Source organism: Homo sapiens, chromosome 2 (genome assembly GCF_000001405.40).
Source record: "Homo sapiens chromosome 2, GRCh38.p14 Primary Assembly".
Classification (NCBI taxonomy): Eukaryota; Metazoa; Chordata; class Mammalia; order Primates; family Hominidae; genus Homo; species Homo sapiens.
Genome location: NC_000002.12, coordinates 241,167,434 through 241,189,802, shown reverse-complemented (window position 1 = coordinate 241,189,802; position 22,369 = coordinate 241,167,434). Strand labels below are relative to the sequence as shown.

The 22,369-nt window shown below is 50.0% G+C and overlaps 2 protein-coding genes and 1 long non-coding RNA gene across 36 annotated transcripts in view, besides 3 other annotated features; 1 reads left to right on the top strand and 2 right to left on the bottom strand.

Moving 5' to 3' along the window:
• Window positions 1-1,126, bottom strand: part of ANO7 (anoctamin 7) — a 51,632-nt gene extending 50,506 nt beyond the window's left edge. For all 30 annotated transcript variants that reach the window (XR_007076377.1, XR_007076376.1, XM_011511267.3 and 27 more), the window contains exon 1: window positions 1,037-1,126. Coding sequence is in view for 26 of the 30 variants with exons in the window: in XM_011511267.3 (XP_011509569.2) it covers window positions 1,037-1,074 (38 nt within the window). In the remaining 4 variants the exon portion in view is untranslated. The remainder of the gene's footprint in view (window positions 1-1,036) is intronic.
• Window positions 488-1,171: an enhancer, noted in NCBI's record as "H3K27ac-H3K4me1 hESC enhancer chr2:242128047-242128730 (GRCh37/hg19 assembly coordinates)". NCBI's record gives its function as "activates a minimal SCP1, AML or CMV promoter by ChIP-STARR-seq in primed H9 embryonic stem cells {active_cell/tissue: H9 hESC(primed)}" and the evidence as "EXISTENCE:reporter gene assay evidence [ECO:0000049][PMID:30033119]".
• Window positions 1,172-1,856: an enhancer, noted in NCBI's record as "H3K27ac-H3K4me1 hESC enhancer chr2:242127362-242128046 (GRCh37/hg19 assembly coordinates)". NCBI's record gives its function as "activates a minimal SCP1, AML or CMV promoter by ChIP-STARR-seq in naive and primed H9 embryonic stem cells {active_cell/tissue: H9 hESC(naive and primed)}" and the evidence as "EXISTENCE:reporter gene assay evidence [ECO:0000049][PMID:30033119]".
• On the top strand, window positions 1,381-22,127 carry LOC105373971 (uncharacterized). Its single transcript, XR_924064.3, has 3 exons — window positions 1,381-1,527; window positions 3,695-3,839; window positions 22,066-22,127. It is a non-coding gene; the product is annotated as an uncharacterized LOC105373971 (long non-coding RNA).
• Window positions 3,052-3,574: an enhancer, noted in NCBI's record as "H3K4me1 hESC enhancer chr2:242125644-242126166 (GRCh37/hg19 assembly coordinates)". NCBI's record gives its function as "activates a minimal SCP1, AML or CMV promoter by ChIP-STARR-seq in naive H9 embryonic stem cells {active_cell/tissue: H9 hESC(naive)}" and the evidence as "EXISTENCE:reporter gene assay evidence [ECO:0000049][PMID:30033119]".
• PPP1R7 (protein phosphatase 1 regulatory subunit 7) overlaps window positions 6,151-22,369 on the bottom strand; it is a 34,080-nt gene continuing 17,861 nt past the window's right edge. For 3 of the 5 annotated variants that reach the window (NM_001282412.1, NM_001282413.1, NM_001282409.1), the window contains 2 exons: window positions 19,936-20,022; window positions 6,153-7,156 (listed from right to left, as the gene is read on the bottom strand). In NM_001282412.1, the coding sequence (NP_001269341.1) occupies window positions 6,980-7,156; window positions 19,936-20,022 (264 nt within the window). In that variant the 3' untranslated portion in view covers window positions 6,153-6,979. Of the gene's footprint in view, window positions 7,157-19,935; window positions 20,023-22,369 lie in introns of all 5 variants that reach the window. The other 2 variants (NM_002712.3, XM_011511388.3) reach the window with 1 other exon arrangement.

The window sequence follows — 22,369 nt, the reverse complement described above, 5'->3', positions numbered from 1 at the left end:
CCATCCAGTGAGTGCCCGTGTCCCCCAGCCCTGAATGCCGTCCACTCTGCCTGGGTACTCAGTGGAGCCTGAGAAGGCCCAGAAAGGTGGGCCTGGAGTACAGACACCTCTCCCTCTCTTATCCGTAGGGTGGAGCCATGTGAGCCAGGGACAGGAAACCCCTCAAGTCGCCTGCCTTCGCTCATGGCCTGAGGACCCAGTGCCAGGACCCATAGGCCCTGAGCTCCCCAGCAAGGCGGGCCTGATGGAGCCCGGCCTCACAACTCTTGGGGGTCCCAGCTTCCTCCCGCACCTTCGCCCCGGGGGTCTCTCTCTGTGGGAGGACAGGTGCCGTGGCTCCTAGTCTTGGGCTGGCAAAACGGGGCCAGGAGCACGACATCTGTGGCCCTGGAAGGAGAGGGTTCGAGCTGGGGCTGGCATTTGGAGCTGCGACGATGACCGGAGGGTGTGACCATGGAGGCGCCGCAGGAGGTCGGAGGGGCAGCCTTCTAGTTCTACCCTTCACTTCACATTAGCGGAGGCCCAGAGGGACAGAGACTGAGCCTGGGCCGCCTGCACCTGCCTAACCCTGAAGCCCGAGCCAGGTCTCAGTGTTAGGACTCGGCCCCGGCCCCAGGCTGGGAGCCTCACTACGGACTGTGGGGTGTTCCTGGAGGAAAGTCCCCGAGGAGTTTCGGCCACCCAGCAGCCCCTCATGCCCCCATCCTTCTGTGGTGGGCAGGCGGGCCCCTCCTCAGAGCTCTCTGCAGAAAGAATGGGGATGCCCCCCACCCCAACGAAGGGACCTGCTCCATGGGGGAGCCCCTGGGCAGGCAGGAAGCCAACCCCAGCTGGGTGTACCCCGTCCAGAGCCGCACTGAGTGTGTGTCCCTCCTCGTGCCCCAAGGGGCTTTGGGGACCAGGGCGGGCCCTGGCACTGCCTCCCCACAGGCCAGGGTGTGTGAAAGTCCCGGTGGGCTGGGGTGCCGCCCTGCCTCCCTAGAGTCCAACGCTCCACCTTCTCCCTGTGGCCCACACGTCTAGGCTGGGTCCCCACCTGGCACAGTGGCTTCCGGAAGAGGTCTCGGAGGTCATGGCCCACCTCTCAGCGTGAGCCTGGTCTCGGCAGTAGAGTCCCGTCCTCACTGCGGGACAGAGGGTGGGGAGGGGTGGCCCTTGGAGCCCCGCCCAGGCAGTGGCAGCCATTCGCATGCCCTCACCTTGCCTGCAAGTGGGCCAGGAAGCAGGCAGGGGAGGTGCCCAGCACAGCTGGCCAGGGCAAGGCTTCCCGGCTCCTGGAGCAGGATCTATCTTTGTTTAAATAGGGGGTGTGGGGCTCAGAGCTGCAGACAGAGGCAGCCCACTTGGCTGGGCTTTCACACACCCGCATGCAAATGCTGCCGTCCTCCTGGGAACCTTATTTGCTTAGAGATTTCAGGGCTGGCATCAGCTGTCATAGTTGCTGCCTTGGAGGGTCTCGAGGAGGTGGGATTCCACAGGAACAGCCACAAGTGCCACCTCTGCTGGAAGCCTTGCCAGGCAGACCTCGTAAGCTCTGTTTATGTGGGGGGAAACTGAGGCTCCTTGAGGTTACGTAGCATGTGCTGAGTGGTGGGCCAGGGTTTCACCCGGGGGCTGGGGAGATTGGGAGACCCAGATCACACTGCTGGCTCTGCTAATGCCTGAGGGGTGACCTCAGGCACATCCCATGCTCAGGGCCCCATCTGCAAAAGGACAGGAGGGGTCCTAGCCTTCCTCCCATCCTTTCCGCCCTCCTCCTCGTCCTCATTCTCCTCCTAGCCCTCCTCTTTCTCCTCCTAGCCCTCCTCCCCCTCCTCCTTTCTCCCCCTCCTCCTATCCTTTCTCCCCACCTTCCCTCTCCTCCTTCTCCTCCTATTGTTTCTCCCCCCTACTCCTCCCTCTCCTTCTCCTCCTATCCGTTCTCCCCTCTCCCTCTCCTCCTATCATTTCTCCCCCCAACTCCTCCTCCTCCTCCTCTTTCTCCCCACTCCCCCTCCTCCTATCGTTTCTCCCCCTCCCCCCCACTTCTCCCTCTCCTCTTCCTTCTCCTCCTTTCTCCCCACTCCCCTCCTCCTGTTTCTCCCCCTCCCCCCACTTCTCCCTCTCCTCCTCCTTCTCCTCCTATCCTTTCTCCCCGCCCCTCCTCTTCCCCTCTCCCTCCCCCTCCCCCTTTCCTCCTTGGTGCCTGGCAGTGTCTGAGAACCTACCACCCGTGCTCCTCGCCCTCCATGCACAACTGCACTGGGGAGCCCCAAGCTCAGCTTGCTGTTCCAGGTGCCCCCTTCTGCCTGTTGAAATCCCTCCAGGCGGACCCTCATCCTGGCTGCAGCTTTCCCTTATACCTATGCCCCTCTGTGCTTGGCACCTCCCAAGGGGCCCTGTTCTTGGACCTGTGTTGTGCCTCGGAACAGCGGGAAGGCCCTGCAGGCCGGGTTCCCTGTCAGCACCAGCAGAGCCTGGGCGGCAGGACCTTGGGGCCCTGGGCCTCAGGGCATCTGCATGAGAGGTCTCTGCTTGGCCAAGCTCAGCCTGCAGGCGCCTGAGGTGGATCCCTGGACGAGGGCTGGACTGGGGAAGTGCTCCAGAAACCAGGAAAGGAGTCGGGAGGCAGGAGGGGAGGGAGGATGAGCGGGGCACCATCTCCCCAAGACCTGTGGAGGGTGGCCTCAGCCTGCCATGGGCACTCTGCAGGGGAGGCAAGACGAAGCGTTTCCTCACCTGGATGCAACTGTAGGCTCTTACTCTGCTCAGTCATTGGCCAAGGACCCTCCCAGGAAGACATGCCACCTCCCAGGAGCTCCTGGCTCTCTGCTCTTGGTGACAAAGTGGCTCTGGTGGCCTCAGGGCTGTCTACTCAAGAGCTTCAGGGCCGGCTGCTGGAGGTGACCACACCCCAGTGGGAGCCCTTTCAGCGACAGTGCACGCACAACACCTAAAGGGGGTTCGGCCCTGAGGAGTGTCTTTCCATTTTTACTTCATACAACTCTGTTTGGGTGGGTGGTTTTTTCAAGTTGTGTTACTTCTGAGGGAAAGGAAGGAAGGGAGGGAGGGAGAAAAGCCGCAACCAGCACAGGGGGCCCGCCAGGTTCCAGGCCTTGGGAAGAGCCCAGGCCCAGAATCTGCTGCACCATCTTTCTTTGGCTGTAACATTTTTTTTTTTGAGACGGAGTCTCGCTCTGTCGCCCAGGCTGGAGTGCAATGGCGCCATCTCGGCTCACTGCAAGCTCTGCCTCCCGGGTTCATGCCATTCTCCTGGCTCAGCCTCCGGAGTAGCTGGGACTACAGGCGCCCGCCACCACGCCCGGCTAATTTTTTATATTTTTAGTAGAGACGGGGTTTCACCTTGTTAGCCAGGATGGTCTTGATCTCCTGACCTCGTGATCCGCCCGCCTCGGCCTCCCAAAGTGCTGGGATTCCAGGCGTGAGCCACCGTGCCCGGCTGGCTGTAACATTTATGGACATACTTAGGGTGTAGTTAGTGGAGGTGGAAGTGGTGGTGAAGAGCCCACACTGAAGTTCAGCCTCTTTCTGAGGCTCCTTCTGAGGCTGGAGGCGCGTGCAGGGCTCCCTCCATGAGGACCCTGGCACTGCGCCCCAGCCACATGGGAGCCCTGCTGGACGGACGGTGGCTGGGTCGCAGGGGACAGACTCTTGGATGCCTGCACTGCCCGCTTTCTAACCTTCCTGTCTGCAGGTGCAGCCAGCAGCCCAGCTTCCTGTGAGCGGCGGCTCCACACAGGCCACTGGCCCCTGGTGTCTGAGTTGCCCACTCTGGCCCTTGGCCTGCGTTTCCGTCAGGATTCCTGTCTCCTTTATTTGATGTGTGGGAGTTCTAAATGGTAAGCCTTGCCAGTTTTAAAAGCTGCAAACGCCTTCTCTTAATCTACTGTTGCCATTATTCAGGTATTATTCATTATTTTTGTTCTATGTAAAATTTTATGTAAATAAACCCATCAAAATCTTGTCTTACAGTTGTGTTTGTGGAGTTTTTTTTTCGAGATAGAGTCTTGCTCTGTTGGCCAGGCTGGGGTGCAATGGCGCAATCTCAGCTCACTGCAACCTCCACCTCCTGGGTTCAAGCAATTCTCTTGCTTCAGCCTCCTCGAGTAGCTGGGATTACAGGTGCCTGCCACCATGCCCGGCTAATTTTTTGTATTTTTAGTAGAGACGGGGTTTCACTATGTTGGCCAGGCTGGTCTCGAACTCCTGACCTTGTGATCTGCCCACCTCGGCCTCCCAAAGTGCTGGGATTACAGGCATGAGCCACCGCACCCGGCCTTGGGGAGTTTTCTCTACTGCTAGCTCACATATCCGCCTTCCCACATTCTTTTTTCTTTTTTGGGGGTGTGAGACAGGGTCTCACTCTGTCGCCCAGGCTGGAGTGCTAGTGGCGAGATCTCAGTTCACTGCAACCTCTGCCTCCCGGGTTCAAGCGATTCTGCCACCTTAGCCTCCCGAGTAGCTGGGACTACAGGTGGCTGCCACCACGCCCGGCTAAGTTTTGTGTTTTTTTAAAGTAGAGATGGGTTTTCACCGTGTTACCCAGGCTGGTTTTGAACTCCTGAGGTCAAGCAATCCACTCGCCTTGACCTCCGAAAGTGCTACGATTACAGGCACGAGCCACCATGCCCAGTCTCCCACATTATTTTCTACTGATTTCCTATTTCACCACCGCCCATGAATCACCAATTGCTCTGGAGCCTATCCTGTGTGTGATGCCAGGGAGGGGCAGTGTTCATTTTTCCACATAGTGCACTCTGCCAACATCATGAGGACACTGTCCACCCCTCCCCGACCCCCGGACACTTTTCCCAGTCCCCGAGTCCCCTGGGTTCCTGCTGAGGTGTCCCTGTCTTGGTGCTGTTAGGTCAGGCCTCCCCCCACACTCTCACTGTGGGTTTGCAGCACTCAGGATCTGGTAGGAAAGCGTCTCTCCCAGCTCTTTTTCAAAATGAATTGAATCACAATGTTGACTTTTTTCTTCCATATACATTTTAGAATTTGTCGGGCACGGTAGCTCATGCCTATAATCCCAGCTTTTAGGAAGGCAGAGGTGGGAGGACAGCTTGAGCCTAGGAGTTTGAGACTTGCCTGGGCAATATAGCAAGACCCTGTTCGCCAAAAAAGGAAAAAGAAAAAGCCGGGCACGGTGGCTCACTCCTGTAATCCCAGCACTTTGGGAGGCAGAGGCAGGTGGATCATGAGGTCAAGAGATCAAGACCATCCTGGCCAACATGGTGAAACCCCGTCTCTTCTAAAAATATAAAAATTAGCTGGGTGTGGTGGCATGTGCCTGTAGTCCTACCTACTCAGGAGGCTGAGGCGGGAGAATCGCTTGAGCCCGGGACGCGGAGTTTGCAGTGAGCACAGATCGCGCCACTGCACTCCAGCCTAGCGACAGAGCGAGACTCTGTCTCAGAAAAAAAAGGAAAAAAAATTAAATTTTAGAATTTAATGTGTCTCAAAAAATCAAATGGTGGCTGGGTGCGGTGGCTCACCCCTGTAATTCCGGCATTTTGGGAGGCTGAGGTGGGCGAATCACCTGAGGTCAGGAGTTTGGGACCAGCCCGGCAACATGGCAAAACCCCATCTCTACTAAAAATACAAAAATCAGCTGGGTGTGGTGGCGGGTGCCTGTAATCCCAGCTACTAGGGAGGGTGAGGCAGGAGAATCGCTTGAACCTGGGAGGTGGTGGCTGCAGTGAGCTGAGATTGCGCCATTGCACTCCAGCCTGGGTGACAGAGAATGACTCCTTAAAAAAAAAAAAAATCAAATGGCATTTTGATTAGGATTGTGCTGGATTTAGCATACCTTTCCTCATCACTTCCACATTTTTTGTATGTTTGTAAAAATGTCTGTTAAAGAACAGATGGCTGGGTATTAATTTGGAGCCTTTTAAAACTTGAGACAGGGTCTCCCTCTGTCACCCAGGCTGGAGTGGGTACAATCATGGCTCACTGCAGCCTCGCCCACATTGGACAGTACGGTTCTAGAGTCCTGGTTCCTCAAGTAGACGGTTCTAGAGTCTAGAGTCCCGGAGGCAGAAGGGACCTTGGTGACCACATGATGTGGCCCTCATTCTGCAGGAGGAGAAATCTGAGACCCTGGGAGGTGACGATGCCCTGGTAGCATTAAATCCAGACTTCGGGTGTCTGTCAATGTACATTTTATATTAAAAAAGCCAAAATAACAATGGGGTGAGAACAGGAGGCCACTATACCAGTGGCCAAGAGTTCAGATCCTTGGAGGCCGTCTTTGGAGAGGCTCAATGGGACTCGTATTCTGGCAGCAGCACAGCACCGTGTGGGACACAGGACACCCTCCCCACACCTGAGCTTTCACCCACAGGCAAGGGATGTGGCGAGAACTGACGGGCACACGTGAAAACAGTCAGCCCTGCCCGGCGCTCTTTGAAGGAGAGCTCTAAGGAACACAAGCACACAGGGCTGAGTCAGCTTTTACCCAGCTTTTTTAACTTACCTAATTTTTAAAAAATTGAAAATGGCTGGGTTAAAAGACTAAAAAACCTCGGTTGTTGCAGGTCAAGACTGCCTGAACCCTGCACACCAGGACTAGGGCCAGCTAGGCCAGCCCCCGAATGCCACTCGGACAGCACGTGAATGCCTGTAAAGCACTCTCAGGCCCTGTGTTTCACACGACTCAGGTAGGGACTGTGACTGCCTTCTGAGAGAAGGAAACAGGGATTTCTAGCGAATGAACGCAACGTGTCTTATGTTCTCTCTGTGGCTACAATAACTGTCAACAATCACCCAGGAGGACAGTGTGGCAAGATTTAATTGCAACGGCATCTGAAAATGGTGTGTGACGTCGCGCGCGCCAGCTATCGTCAGTGCCTTTATTGCCATTGGGTTTGTGACTGTTGATATAGTGACGACCTCAGGAGCAACAGGTGGGTTAAAAACCCGTGGCTGGGCAGTTCTTCCGAGGAGAGGGACCACATGAGGAGCCAAGAAGGACTCAGAACCTGACGAACGTGGCATCGATCTGCCGCACGGAGGGGAGGGCGAGCATGACCTTCCGCCGGTACTGGGGGTCCTTCTGCAAGGGGTTCCGCTCCAGGTACACTGTCTCCAGGCTCCTGGCTCCCTTCAGCTCGTCGAGGTCGCTCCAGCTCTCAAGGAGATTGTCGTTCATCTGGGGACACACACAGCAGAAAAGCCTTTAGAACCAAACAGCCCAGCCCTCGACTCTGGTGGGGTCCACTAGCCACCCTCCTCCTTCCCACTCAGAAGATGGCGAGCAGGTGTGGGTCTTCCCTGGCACCTCATGGGACCTTCCATGGCCTCTTGGTGCATCCTGGCCACCTTCAGCTGCATCCCAAGTACAAGTTACCTGTCCATAGCCAACCCTGGGCCAGTCACTATGACGGGGCCAAGTCCACATTCAGGTCAGCAGAGGAAGGACAAAGCAGTTCTGGCCACCTGCCTGCTACACTTGTCCATAGGCAAGTGTCAAAGCAGGGTGGGCTGCACTTTCTACAAACCAGTTCTCAGCCATCATTCCCAAGGCTGCACTCTGCGCCATCACTGTGACACAGCAGACAGAGGCCGCTCTACTTAAAACTCTCAACTCTTCTGTAAATTACCTCTATGGCTCTCTCCACAAGGAAGTCCCAGCTGCTGCTTTCACCCAATACCAAGTGCAGGGACACAAATCGTGAGCAGGTGGGATTCAGAGGTCTGAGTTGCAGGCTACATTTTACCATCTTGGCCCTGCCATGCCCAGTTGGAGGGACCTGCCTTTGGCAGGAAGAGTTCTCTTGCATTTTTTTTTTTTTTGAGACAGAGTCTCGCTCTGTCGCCCAGGCTGGAGTGCAGTGGTGCCATCTCCAGAACAAGGGGAGCCAGTCCAGCTTCAAACCCTGTTGGTCTGACCCTCCCTTTCAAACACCCTGTGTGTAGAAATCACATGTTCAGAGCTGCCCGGCCTCAGGGCCTGCCAGGCAAACCGCGGTGGCAAGAGCACGGGCACTGCTCCTGAAGAGGCAGCTGGACTTGACTGTGAACCTACAATGGGCACAGGCAGGGGCACTCGTTATAGGGTGACAGACTTCGACTCCTTTTACAGGGAAGTTAGGAAGGGAACTGTCCATGTGGAACGGAAGGCAAGCAGGGGCGTTCTACTCTGGGGCCCACACTGCCCACTGCCCTGCCCACAGCTGTGGTCCGACTGGGGGGTCCCTGCATGGACTTCTGGACCTCTGCTCTGCACAGCTCCCCTTCTCTCTGGGGCCCTGTCTGGCACACTCTAGCTGCCAGAGATGTTGATCTCTGCCTCTTCCACTCAGAAGTACTGTGTTCTGCTTGGGAAACATCCCAGGTAAGGAGTGGGGTGATCACGGGGCTCGCGCTGGAACTCCCTCCTCAGAGCCTGCAGGTGCGTGCTGCCTGCTGTCCACTGCCTGAATAGAGTTGTTTCATATTTTTCTATCTGTCTGTGGCAGGAGGGCTAGTTTTGCACCAGGTCCACTGTCACAGCCAGGCTGTCTTTAGTAACTTACCGTGTGTCAGGGGCTTCCCAGAGAGGAATATAACGTGCATCTCACAGGTTTGCCTGTTTGAGGAACCCTATTTTCTTTTTTTTGAGAGGGAGTCTCGCTCTGTCGCCCAGGCTGGAGTGCAATGGGGCAATCTCTGCTCACTGCAACTTCCGCCTCCTGGGTTCAAGCGATTCTCCCACCTCAGCCTCCCAAGTAGCTGGGATTACAGGCACTCGCCATCATGCTCGGCTAATTTTTGTATTTTTGTAGAGATGGGGTTTCACCACGTTGGCCAGCCTGGTCTTGAACTCCTGACCTCAAGTGATCCACCCGCCTCAGCCTCCCAAAGTGCTGGGATTACAGGCGTGAGCCACTGCGCCTGGCCTGAGGGACCCTATTTTCACAGAACCTTTTGTGGGACTAGTGCGTACCAGCCTTGGGAAACCAAGAATTCCAAATCCTAGAGCTTAGCCCTTGAAGAGGGACTGACACCTGCTGGGAGGAGCTGCACCACCAGGGCTGGTGCCCTGCTGCTGCTGTCCCGACCAGTGCCTCCATGTGGACGGGACGTGAGCGTACCTTCTTAAATGCTACTCTGTTACTACACTCGCACCGCCCCGCTGGTTGTGTGGCCAGTGCAGAGCCTGCAACACTAGAATTACAGGGGAAGCCATCCACCTGCCAGGCCTGTGATTGGCCGGTCACTGGTCAGTTAACAGAAAGAGCCCCTTAAAGTGGAGAGTCACGAAAATGATGCACACACACGCCTTAAACCAAGCTTGTCCAACCCACGGCCTGCAGGCTGTAAATGGCCTAGGATGGCTTTGAATGAGGCCCAACGCAAATCTGTAAGCTTAAAAACATTTTGAGATTTTTTTGCGATTTTTTCACTTTTTTTTTTTTTTTTTTTTTTAGCTCACCAGCGATCGTTAGAGTATTTTATGTGTAGCCCAAGACAATTCTTCTTTTTTCCAGTGTGGCCCAGGGAAGCCCAAAGACTGAACACCACTGCCTTAACCACTTCTACCACAAAACACACAAAAAGGACATTCATTTAATGAAAGTAGCAATATCACACTGTTTGGAAGAAGTAAGATTTTCTTGTAGCATAGTCTATTTAAAAAATGATTCAAAACACCACTGGCAGTTGACTCAGGCTTTCAGCTCTGGCGTGGGAGGTCTTCAAGCTGTGTCACCTCCTTCTTTCTCGATATGTGATGTATTTGTGTTTGTCACACACCAGATGCTTCTTGTCTCACACATCACAGCATTTTCCAATGTCATTATTAGTCTAGATGGGCGGACCATCTTTATAAATTGCAGATGTTGTAATTTTCCATAGCACTGCCAATCTCAGAGCAGTTTTCTCCAGGACTTAGTAAACCTAACACGGGGAATTCTACTCACCACCAATGGTGCATTGTAAATAATGTGTAAATAATGTGTTTGATACTGGTAACTTTCAGAGATTCTTATCTTTGCATTTTTCCAAAATGGAACTAAAAACATTCACTTGTATGAGACTCTGTCTCCATAGACATTCCAGAGGCTCCTGAATCCCAGGATGGGGCAAAGATGTTACACTCATCATGGAAAAAAGATGACCTTATGTTTCTCTTATCAAGTTCTGCACACTGGGGCTGTCAGGGAGCCTGGCTGGGGAGCGCGGGCACATTCCTTTCCCCCAGAGGGACCACTTCAGTCTCTTCTAATCTTGAGCACCTCCCATGTCCTTCTCACACTGTTTTTTAAAAACTAAAATTGGCTTCTTGAAGAACTGTCTTGTAAAGTATCCCTCACTGTCATTTAGCTTGTTCTTCTAGCTCTTACACTTCCCATAAACTCAAAGTTAGGTATGAATGCTTGGTTAGATCAGACTAAACATTTTTGGTAGGTATACTGCACAGATGACTCACACTGGGGACACAGCACTTCAGGTGGTCCCACAATTAGGGATGCTAAGTTTTATCATGCAGATCAGCTGGTGACCCCAGATGACTCTGGGAACATGCTTTCCCTTTGCAATTAGCGAGTTCTCTGTGGCATGATCCTTGGGCCTGTGTGCAAACATCCCTTCTTCAACATCCTTCCCAGTAATCTCAGCAGCTGATCCCTTGCCCGAACCAACGGCTGGGATTCTGCTAGAGAACATCTTCTTGGCTGACGTTTTCCTGGCAGACTCTTTTGGTTTTTGGAACCCAAACTTGCATTTTGTATTTATGGGGTTTTCTATCTGTGTATTTTGCATATACATACATAGGATACCTGTATTTCCCTTCACAATTTTTTTGGCTGATATTATAGAAAATTCACATTAATTACCCCAAACTCAGTAATGTTTTAAGCAAAAGATGGGTAGAATTCTTAAGATACATTTCATAAACAACTGGTAGAATGTAAAAATCACTTATTTTCTGAAAATCTCCATGACAGTTTAACAAAGGAGATGCGTGACACAGGCACGGCCCATCAAGAGCCGTCCGTGGGGATGGTGAGGCTGCCAGACACAGGCACGGCCACATCGAGAGCTGTCCGTGGGGATGGTGAGCTACTCGGGAGGCTGAGGCAAGAGAATCCCTTGAACCCGGGAGGCGGAGGTTACAGTGAGCGGAGATTGCGCCACTGCACTCCAGCCTGGGGGACAGAGCCAGACTCCGTCTAAAAAAAAAAAAAAAAAATTAGCGGAGCGTGGTGGCGGGCACCTGTAGTCCTAGCTACTCGGGAGGTTGAGGCAGGAGAATGGTGTGAACCCAGGAGGTGGAGCTTGCAGTGAGCCGAGATCACGCCACTGCACTCCAGCCTGGGTGACAGAGCCAGACTCTGTCTCAAAAAAAAAAAAAAAAGCTGAAGACCAGTGACAAAGTAAAGTATCTGCAACACAGATGACATACTAAGGTTTAGTATCATTCATTGATAGAATCTCTATAAGTTAATAATAAAAGGGAAAATGCACTGGACTAAAGCTAGCAGAAAGTATCAAGAGGGAACAAAAGGACAAAGTGGTTGAAAACAGAGGCGCCAGGGTTAGACTCATCTGTAATTAAAGGAATGCAACTGAAACCTAATGAAATGGCCATCACTAGACTGAAGGGGAGCAGAAAGTGGGCCCAGGCCAGGCACACATGCTGGGAGGGAGGCACACAGCCTCTCCTCGAGCAGCCCCTACCTGTGCCCCCCGCTCCTTGCAGCTCACACCCAGACAGCCCTGGGTCAGGGGTGCCAAGCTGGCACAGGCTGCTTGTGCAGGGCGCTGCCTACAGGAAAGCATTCCATCAAGAGGGCTGAGGAAGCACAGCTGTGGCATGGAGCAGGCCTGCAATGTAATTTAAATGGCATCACTTGGCTTAAACGAGCGGGCAGCATCTGCCAACAGAGCATCTGGGAGGGTCCTGGGGAAGCCCCTGTGCCAGCAGGGCAGTGGGCAGATGGGCTCCATGCCGGCATCAGACACCATGAGGGTGGAAACTTTCCTGCCAAATGTTTCTCCTCCCCTGGCTACTGCCTTTGGTCACTGTGATGCTACCTTTCCCCTGGATTACTGGGAAGAGGGTGGGGGCCTGAGCAGGGCAGTGCTGGTCTCAGCCCACCCTCCAGGCCCTGGATGTCAGCTTGAAACAAGTCGCGTATGGCAGGGGCGGGATGCATCATATTGGTGAACTGTGTATTGCTATCCTCCACCTATTTTTCTATTGAATCGCTTTCTTTCACTTTAAAGAACTTTTTGTATGTCATAGAAAATAACCTTAACCTTAACCTCTCAGGCGACCAATGGACTCTTTCATCATGCAAAATACATACGCTTTATAAAATTAGATATACCTATTCTTTCTTTTTTCACTGATTTTTAAATCTTGGTTAGGAAGCTCTCTATGATTTTTTTTTTTTTAAGGTGGAGTCTAGCTTTGTCGCCAGGCTAGAGTGCAGTGGCACAATCTTGGCTCACTGCAACCTCTGCCTCCCAGGTTCAAGCGATTCTCCTGCCTCAGCCTCCCGAGTAGTGGTGACTACAGGCGCGTGCCACCACATCCAGCTAAATTTTTGTATTTTAGTAGAGACAGGGTTTCACCATGTTGGCTAGGATGGTCTCGATCTCCTGACCTGATCGTGCAGTGGCACGATCTTGGCTCACTGCAACCTCCGCCTCCTGGGTTCAAGCAATTCTCCTGTCTCAGCCTCTCCAGTAGCTGAGACTATAGGTGCATGCCGCCACGCCTGGCTCATTTTTGTATTTTTAGTAGAGATGGGGTTTCACCATATTGGTTAGACTAGTCTCAAACTCCTGACCTTAGGTGACCCACCCGTCTCAGCCTCCCAAAGTGCTGGGATGACAGGTGTGAGCCACCGTGCCCAGCTGCATGTGGTATTTTTAAGGCTCTAAATGCCCTACAGAAAACTTGTATGAAACACAGCTATCTCCGTAGTCACGAGAGTGCCTGCTGCCATCACAGGCTGGTTGCAGCTGCATTCTATGAGTCTTCACCAACCTGACAGATAACACTGTATCTCACTGTTTTAGTAGATTTTAAAAGTTAATGAGATATGGCCAGGCACAGTGGCTCACGCCTGTAATCCCAACACTTTGGGAAGCCGAGGCAGGCAGATCACTGGAGGCCAGGAGTTCAAGACCAGCCTGGCCAACATGGCAAAACCCCGTCTCTACTAAAAATACAAAAATTAGCCAGGCATGGTGGTGGCAGCCACCTGTAATCCCAACTACTTGGGAGGCTGAGGCAGGAGAATCACTTGAACCCGGGAGGTGGAGGTTGCAGTGAGCCGAGATCGTGCCACTACACTCTAGCCTGGACGACAGGAGCAAAGCTCCATCTCAAAAAAAAAAAAAAGAAAGAAAAAAAAATTAATGAGATAGGAAATGCTTTATGTATTTACAAGCAACTGTTACTTCTTGCTCTGTGAACACCCTAGTTTTCAAGTGGTACCTGGGTGTGAGCTGTTTTTAATGTAAGGATGTTAGCCCTGCATCTGACACATGTGGATAACATATTTTCCAATGTTATCTGTAGCTGGCCTCCACCCAGTTGGCCAGCCTTTTCTATGTTCCTTCTGCTCATTCAAATATGTTTCAGGCACTGACTGGGCATGGTGGCTCACACCTGTAATCCCAGCACTTTGGGAGGCCCAGGCAGGAGGATTGCTTGAGTTCAGGAGTTTGAGACCAGCCTGGACACCACAGTGAGACCTTGTCTCTACAAAAGATTTTAAAATGGTCCAGACATAGTGGCTCACTCCTGTAATCCCAGCACTTTGGGAAGCCGAGGTGGGCGGATTACCTGAGGTCAGGAGTTTGAGACCATCCTGGCCAACATGGTGAAACCCCGTCTCTGCTAAAAATGCAAAAATTAGCCAGGCGTGGTGGCATTCACCTGTAATCCCAGCTACTGAGAGGCTGAGGCAGGAGAATCGTTTGAACCTGGAAAGCGGAGGCTGCAGTGAGATTGTGCCATTGCACTCCAGCCTGGGTGACAAGAGCAAAACTCCATCTCAAAAAAACAAAAAACGAAACAAAACAAAAAACCCACAAATGTAGCCAGGTCATTGGTGCACACCTGCAGTCCCAGCTACTTGGGAGGCTGAGGTGGGAGGATCACTTGAACTCAGGAGGCCAAGGCTTCAGTGAGCCATGATCATGCTACTGCACTCTAGCCTGGGTGACAGAACAAGACTCTGTCTCAAAAGAAAAAAGTGTATCAGGCACTATTCCAGATGCTGGTGAGATAAGAGTGAACAAAACAATATCCATACTGCGGAATATTATTTGGCCCTAAAAAGAAAGGCAATTCTGACACATGCTTACAGAATGGGTGAATCTTCAGGTCAATATGCTGAGTGAAGTAAGCCAGTCACAAAAATAAATACTGCATGATTCCAGTGATATGAGGTCTGTAGTTAAATTCATAGAGACAGAAAGTAGAAGGGTCATTGTCAAGGTCTGGGAAGGGGAAAATAGGGAGTTATTGTTTAATGGGTACAGAGTTCCAGTTTTATAAGTTGAAAAGAGTCCTGGAGATGGACGGTGGTGATGGCTGTGCACCATTACGAATGTGCTGAATACCACTCACTGTACACTTCCACATGGTTAAGATGGTGAGTTTTATTTTATGCATGTTTTACCACAATAAAGAAATTGGGAGGGAAAACAAAGTAAACCAAACACTAATTTCCCTGCCCTTATGAGGTTTGTATTATACAGTGGGGGAGACAGACACAAAAGTAAGATAAATAAGTAGGACTTCTGTTTCAAGCCATGACAGAATAGCTGGTGCTGAGCTCCTGCCTTTGTCACAAGCTACTAGAAAATAGGATAGAATAGGCCGGGCGCGGTGGCTCACACCTGTAATCCCAGCACCTGGGGAGGCCAAGGCGGGCGGATCATGAGGTCAGGAGATGGAGACTGTCCTGGCTAACACAGTGAAACCCTGTCTCTACTAAAATACAAAAAAAATTAGCCAGGCGTGGTGGCGGGCACCGGTAGTCCCAGCTACTCAGGAGACTGAGGCAGGAGAATGGTGTGAACCCAGGAGGCGGAGCTTGCAGTGAGCTGAGATCGCGCCACTGCACTCCAGCCTGGGCGACAGAGCAAGACTCTATCTCAAAAAAAAAAAAAAGAGGATAAAATATATGAAATAATTGTTTTTATACATCAGACAACAGGCAACACAGATAGTGATTCTTGAGAGACAGGAAACAAATGAGGTGGGTGGTGTGATCATCCCGGCCTTCTGCCTGGAGGAACTTTCAGGACCACAAGGAGGCGGAACCCAAGCAGAGCCTGGTGGCCACACAGAGTTGAGATGGTGATTGTAGTTTGGGGAGGCAAAGGGAGCTGGAATGTATAGATAGGAGTGAGCTATGTAGGGAAAAAGCCTCCAGAAATCCACATGGTATCCTGTGGAATCCTGGACTGAAGATGAAGCTGTGCTAGGCAGAGTGAAAAGCTAAAGGCTGGTCGAAGAACTACTAAGCAGCCCCAAGATGCAGAATGCCCAGAGCTCACCCATAGCAGGTCCATGTTTGTGTTCCCGTCAACCACAGTGGAGAGAACTTAAATACACAGGATATTCACCAGAGATCCTAGGAGGGCCACAGCTTCAAAACAGTGCTAGATTAATCTTACGGAGTAGACTATTTAGATGTACTCTAATAAAGCTTAAAAACAAGCCTCAAAAGGATCAAGCTGTAACTTAATTGCCTGTCAGATAAAGTTCAGTATGTTTTGAAGGAAAACAACATAAATTCCAGACATTCAACAATTGAACACCATAAAGCCCAGGATCTAATAAAAAATTACAAGACGTGAAGAAGGAAGGACTTAAAGGAAAACATGAATCTAATGAAGAGAGAAAAATAATCTACCAAAAAAAAAAAAATAAAGCCAAATGTTCTTTTAGAGTTGAGAAAAATACAGTATCTGAAATAAAAAATTCATGACATGGGCTTAACAGCAGATAGGCTACTACAGATGATAAGATCATGATCTTGAAGATTTAACAACAGAAATTATACAAACAAGCACAGCAAGATGAAAGCCCAAGGGGTGGAGCAGGGTGGAGGCAATGGCCTCAGGGGCCTCGCTAGTGCCAGGGGAACATGCATAACTGGGTTTTCAGAGAGAAACCGGGGTGAGGAGCAAGGGCAGAAGCAGTTTTAGAGAAAATAGTCTCCAGAAGCTTTCCACATTTGATGAAGACCATAGATTCACAGACCCAGTTAACCCTGACACATCACAGAAAATAAACTACACCATGGCACGCTATATTCAAGTTGCAAAAAACAAAACAAAATAAGAAACAATGATTAAAAAGAACATTAAAAAGCAGCCAGAGGAAAAAAGATAAAAATGACTGCTGGCTTCTTATTAGAAATAATGCAAACCAGGGCCGTGTGTGGTGGCTCACACCTGTACTCCCAGCCCTTTGGGAGGCTGAGGCAGGAGGACTGTCTGAGCTCAGGAGTTCGAGACCAGTCTGGGCAACATGGCAAGATCCCGTCCTTTTTTTTTTTTTTTTTTTTTTTTGAGAAAGTCTTGCTCTGTTGCCCAAGTTGGACTACAGTGGCATGATCTTGGCTCACTGCAACCTCTGCCTCCTGGATTCAAGCGATTCTCCTGTCTCAGCCTCCCCAGTAGCTGGGACTACAGGCACGTGCCACCACGCCCAGCTAATTTTTGAATTTTTAGTTGAGACGGGGTTTCGCCATGTTGGTCAGGTTGGTCTCAAACTCCTGACCTGAAGTGATCCACCTTGGGATTACAGGTGTGAGCCACCGTGTCTGGCCCCATCTCTATTTATTTTTAAAAAATATTTTTAAAATAATAAAAATTTTATAAAGGAGAAATAATGCAAACCAGAGGATGAAAGAACAAAGTATTTAATGTACTTAAAAAGGAAAAAAAAATCTCTCAAGCTAGAATTGTGTATCCATAATATTAAATTCCAAAAATGCAGGCAAATTAAATAGATTTTTCAAACAAATCAAAGTGAAGGATTGGTTTACTGCAGAATGCACGACAAAACAATAGAATTCTTCAGGTGGAAGGGAAATACCAAGTGGAAACTCAGATCCACACGAAAGAATAAACAATGCCAGAAAAGGTAAAATAAGTGAGTTTTCTTGTTTTTAAATTTCTTTTTTTTTTTTTTTGAGACGGAGTTTCACTTTTTTGCCCAGGCTGGAGTGCAGTGGCACGATCTTGGCCCACTGCAATCTCCACTTGCCAGGTTCAAGTGATTGTCGTGCCTTAGCCTCCTGAGTAGCTTGGACTACAGCATGTGCCACCATGCCCAGCTAAGTTTTGCATTTTTAGTAGAGACAGGGTTTCACCACGTTGGCCAGGCTGGTCTCAAACTCCTGATCTCAGGTGATCCACCTGCCTTGGCCTCCCAAAGTGCTAGGATTACAGGCATGAGCCACTGCGCCTGGCCATTTTTAAATTTCTTTAAAAGATAAGGTATCATGGGGATCGTAAGATATTTAAATGTAAAATATATAGATGGTGAAAATTAAAAATGTATTTTTAAATTCTAATCGCTAAAACAACCCTCCCTCCAAACAATCAACAAGAAAACACTAATACAGAGGTATAGCAAATAAGCCAATAATAGAGTTAAAATAGACTGCAAAAAAAAAAAAGTCACTCCAAAAAGTAGGTAGGAAAGAGTAAACAAAGAATAGATGAGACAAATAAAAAACAAATACTAAGATGATAGACTTAAACTCAACCATTACACAAAATGTAATTAAATGTAATTATATTAAATGTAAGCAGTCTAAAGACACCACTTAAAAGGCAGAGATTCTCAGACTGGAGAAGAAAGCAAGATCTAGTTACATACTTTTTATGAAAAACACATTTTAATTATAAAGGCATGGGTTAAGAGGAAATGGATGGAGAAAGATTCCATGAGAGCGCTAATCATAAGACAGATGAAGGGGCTGTGTTAATAACAGACAAGATACCCTTCCAGGACAAGGATAAAGAGGATAAGCAAGAAAGAAGAACATTTCATATGATAAATGGATCAATTCATCAAGAATTCCTCAATTCTAAATATGTATGCACCTGATAACAGACTTTCAAAATACAAGAAACAAAAACTGATGGAACTGAAAGGAGAAATGGATCCATTGACAATTATAGTTGGAAGGTTTCAACATTCTCCTCTCAGTAATTGGAACAAATAGGCAGAAAAATCAACAAACATAGTATGTGGGTTATCAGAAACTTGTTAAGACTGGTTTTCTATTTCTGCCTTAGAGATGAATGATGTGCCTCTCAAATGTGATATGAGCATGGAACTGAGTTTGAGAATTCCTGGTTTGCAGCTTTCCTTCCTGGAATGCAATTCTTTACCTGTAAAATGGGGTAATATGACCTTATCCACATGGTTGCTGTGATAATTGGATCAGAATGGAGAGAGGTATGGACACCATAAAGCGCTGTGCAAATTCTGGCTATTTTTTACTATCTTTGGTGGCCTAAGGAACAGGATTCTTCTGTGTTACAGGGTCAGGCACTACCTGGCCCCTAGTGATTGATCACCAGCCTGCCTGCCTCCCTGCTAGCTGTGGTACCCAGGTTGGCCCCTGCCTGTGGTCTCAGCACTCTGTGCCCCATGCTCTGTTCCTAGGCAGGGCATGCAGAAGGAATCGTTACGCTTCAGGAACATTGCTTCAGTATCAGCTCGTTTCCCAAACCTGCTCCCTAATTTTTTGCCAGGTGCCCTTTCCCTATCACCTGGTCCTCTGTCTCTGGACTCCTTATTCCTGTTGTTTGGTTTCTTTGTGTTGTTCCCTGGCTTCTTTGCCAACTCCCTATGCACTAATTCAACCAGCCTACCACCAGCCACACCTTCCTTCAAGGGTGGGCTGCACATAGACCCACCTGGACTCATTGAGGCTCCCCCTGGCCTGGTACATCTTTATCACCTGCCAAATTCTGGCTCTGATCTTCCCAGACATGCTCTGGTATCCCATCATGACACTACTCAAGACCCAGTGCCACTAATAAGGGGCAAGGAACATTTGCAGCAGGCCACCTGTGTTCTAGGGAAACTTGGATGACCTTTTAAAGTGGGGAAAGGAGAAAGCACAGGACATAAGCAGGGTCAGCAGCACGGCTAGAGGAGAGACAAGGAAGAATGATGCCTTACACTCAGCATGAATCCTGGATTAGACTGAATGTATCTGAGGACACTACTACATTCCCAGCATCACAGGGTGACACCTGTGCCGCAGTCTCTGCAGGGCCACGTGCTAGCGGAAAGGCAATAAACCTTAGGAGATTTCTCTAAGGGAATCCTAGCACTGAAGACTTCCACTCGGGGATCATTTCCCAACCCCTTTAGAGGAACTGCAAAAACTTCTTATATTCTGTTTCTCTTCCTGCTGACTCCACAACACTACTCCTGAAACCATACCTGTGACAAGACAAATACAAGGCAAATTCCAAGATGACTAACTGCAGAAACCCATCCAACATTTCCTTCTGTTGTGCTGGAATATATCTGTAGGGAATGCGTCTGCCTCTCTGCTGAGGTTTGCAAACCATTTGGTCAAATGACAATTGTAGGTTCTACCCATACCTAGATCAGGGCTTCTCCAACCTTTGTGTGTACTGCAATCACCCGGAGTCTTGTAAAGCAAAGATTTTGACTCAGTTTTCATCTGGGCTATGGTGGGGCCCAAGATTTTGCATTTCTAACAAGCTATGTCAATGCTGCTGATCTGTGGCTCACGCTGAGGAGCACAGACAACACCCAATACAAGTCTACAAGAGCGCCCACCCCAAATCTCATGATGTGCGGAGTCACTCAGCATGAAGGCTTACAGGAGATTCTTGTATTCATTCATAAGACATTTTAATCAGTGAGACCAGTTTAGTCAAAGTGTCATCAACCCCAGCGTGTATTAAACTTACCCAGAACTCTTGCAGCTCTGTTAGATGGCTGATATTTTCAATCTTTTTGATTCTATTTGATGCAATGTCCAACATCGTGAGTTTGTTCTAAAAGAAGGAAATAAAATGTTTCCTGGATTACCTCTGATCAACAGTGATTTGCATGACCACGCAGGCAGTGTCAAGTGCTGACCTTAGGGCTGCAGGTGCACTGCCCTCTCTGCCCTCACAGGGTAAGGGCATGCTATGGAGGGTGACGAGACCTGCTTGCTTCCTGCAGCCCTCCCTGGGACAGTGTTTCCATCAGAGCCTGCCCAGCTATCTCCCTGAGCTCTCCTGATCGCTGGAATTTGAGACTGTGTCAGACTCCAAGCCCAGTCCTCCCAGATCCCTGTCCATTGAGACAGACCTAGTGAGACTGATGGTCCCAGGAAGAACCGAGTAACCCCCTGACGCTCTGAAGAAAGGCTGACAATTGTAGAAACATTTACTTAGTGCTCATCACGAGGAAATGTACGACCAAGTAATCTTCAAAACAAAGTTCCTCTCTTCATTTAGGGATGAGGAACTTGGGGCTCAGTGGGGCTAAGAATCTGCCCAGGCGCACAGTAGCAGTGGGAGAGGCAGGACTCTCAGACCCCAGGCCTACACTCTTGTCTGGGAAAAGGGTCCCGGGAGCATAAGTGCAGAGAAGGGACCCATGCTGAGGACTGGGTGCTGGGCCTGCTGAGCACCTGCTGCAGGGTGTGTGCCCCCACTGGGAGACAAGAGTGTGTTTTTAGGATCTTCTACTCTGAAAATGCACATCAGTTACTCACTTTCCAATACATGTTAGCTAAGCCTGAGTAATAATTTTGTTTCTCATCAAAAGGAAAACATTTACAAGCTGTCTGAGAACCTCTGACAAAGTTCATTCCCTTCTCTGCCCTCACGCTCTGCTCCCTCCTGAGTCCCTTCCTTGGTTTTCTACTGCATTTTTGGTATTCCAATTCCAAAGCCTTCTAAGTTTTAAGGGAAAGTTAAAAAATTTCTCAAAAGCAAATACTCCTCCCCCCATCTCCCCTGAAATGTACCCAGCCAGTAGCTTTCCCAATTCGAAAGCGCTATGGCTGTGGCCTGGGAGCTCCTCTGGCTGTACCACCCTTGCTGCCTTGGCGCCCAGCACCCCAGCTGGCACCAGCTGCGTGTGTCAAGTCTGACGCCACTCTCCAGCAGGCTATACGTGGCATGCTGCCTAGGAGGTGCCTTCAAACCACCCCATCTCGGTGCCCTGGTCAGGTCTGCTCACAGAGTATCAGGCTCAACAGTGTGCGAGGGAGCTCAGTGGGGCGGGTTCAGAGCAAAAAGGACTGCAGGAAAATGTTGCAGAAGACGCGACTGTGGGTAATCCAACGACACACCGCCTGGCGGTGGGGCTGGAACAGGCCTCTCTAGCACGGACGGCAGCTCTCCCCCGCACTCTGCACCATTCTGAGATGCTCATGGTCATCTGGTATGCAAGCCCAGAAACTGGCAAAATGAAAGTGGCCTGGAACACACGCAGGATTTGAGCCTCGTGAGGTCCAAGCACCAAGGCTCAGCACGAGGGGCAGAGCCGGTGGTGGGCTCTGGCTGTCAGAACCGGTCCATCACCTCTGAGCTCAGGGATCCATGTAGGCACTCAACACTATTTCACGTTTTTCTACAGGAGCTGGACAATGTTGTGAAAACTCATCCAAAAGCAAACTAGTAAGAACTGCTTAAGAAACAGAAAAAAAGAATGGAACAGGGTGAGGAGAGCAGGCACACCAAAGGGCATGACACAACGCCACAGAAACTACACCTGTCAGGGACCACTGCAAACATATTCTAGACCAACGGGAGAGCCCAGAGCTGGAGAAGACACGAAGAACAAGACAGGAGTCGTGAGACACTGGGATGGGGGGTGTCGTCTAAGTTCCCACCTGGGACAAAACTACATTTACTTTCTTATTTCCCACCATAAAAATAAATTCCAGATAAATTAAGAAACAAAACTTAGGAGAAAATATTTGTCTGATCTTTAGTTGAAAAAAATGGCAGAAGAAAGACTGTCACATTTGATCATGATGAAGATTACAATAACGTAATTACCTTTAATACAACAATTTTTTTTTTTCTGTTTTGTTTCAGAGGCCCAAGAATAATCTGGTGTTTAACCAAGATCACAGTGTAGCACTTCTACTGGTAAAATTCTGAACCACACTTCTTTCCAGTTTTCCTGGGACTGGCTGCTTATGTGAACTGTGCTGCAGATTGTCTGTCTCCCGGTGGATGCTTGGTGGTGACTGCAGGGCCTTGGCTCAGGGAGGCCAGGGTGCAGGAGGGCACCAGGGCTCCCTGCTGCGCACCCCACCCGGCCCCAACCCCAGCCCCTGCCACACAGTCCTCAGCGCCATTCCACTGCAGGCACGTCTCGACTTACCACTCTAAACTA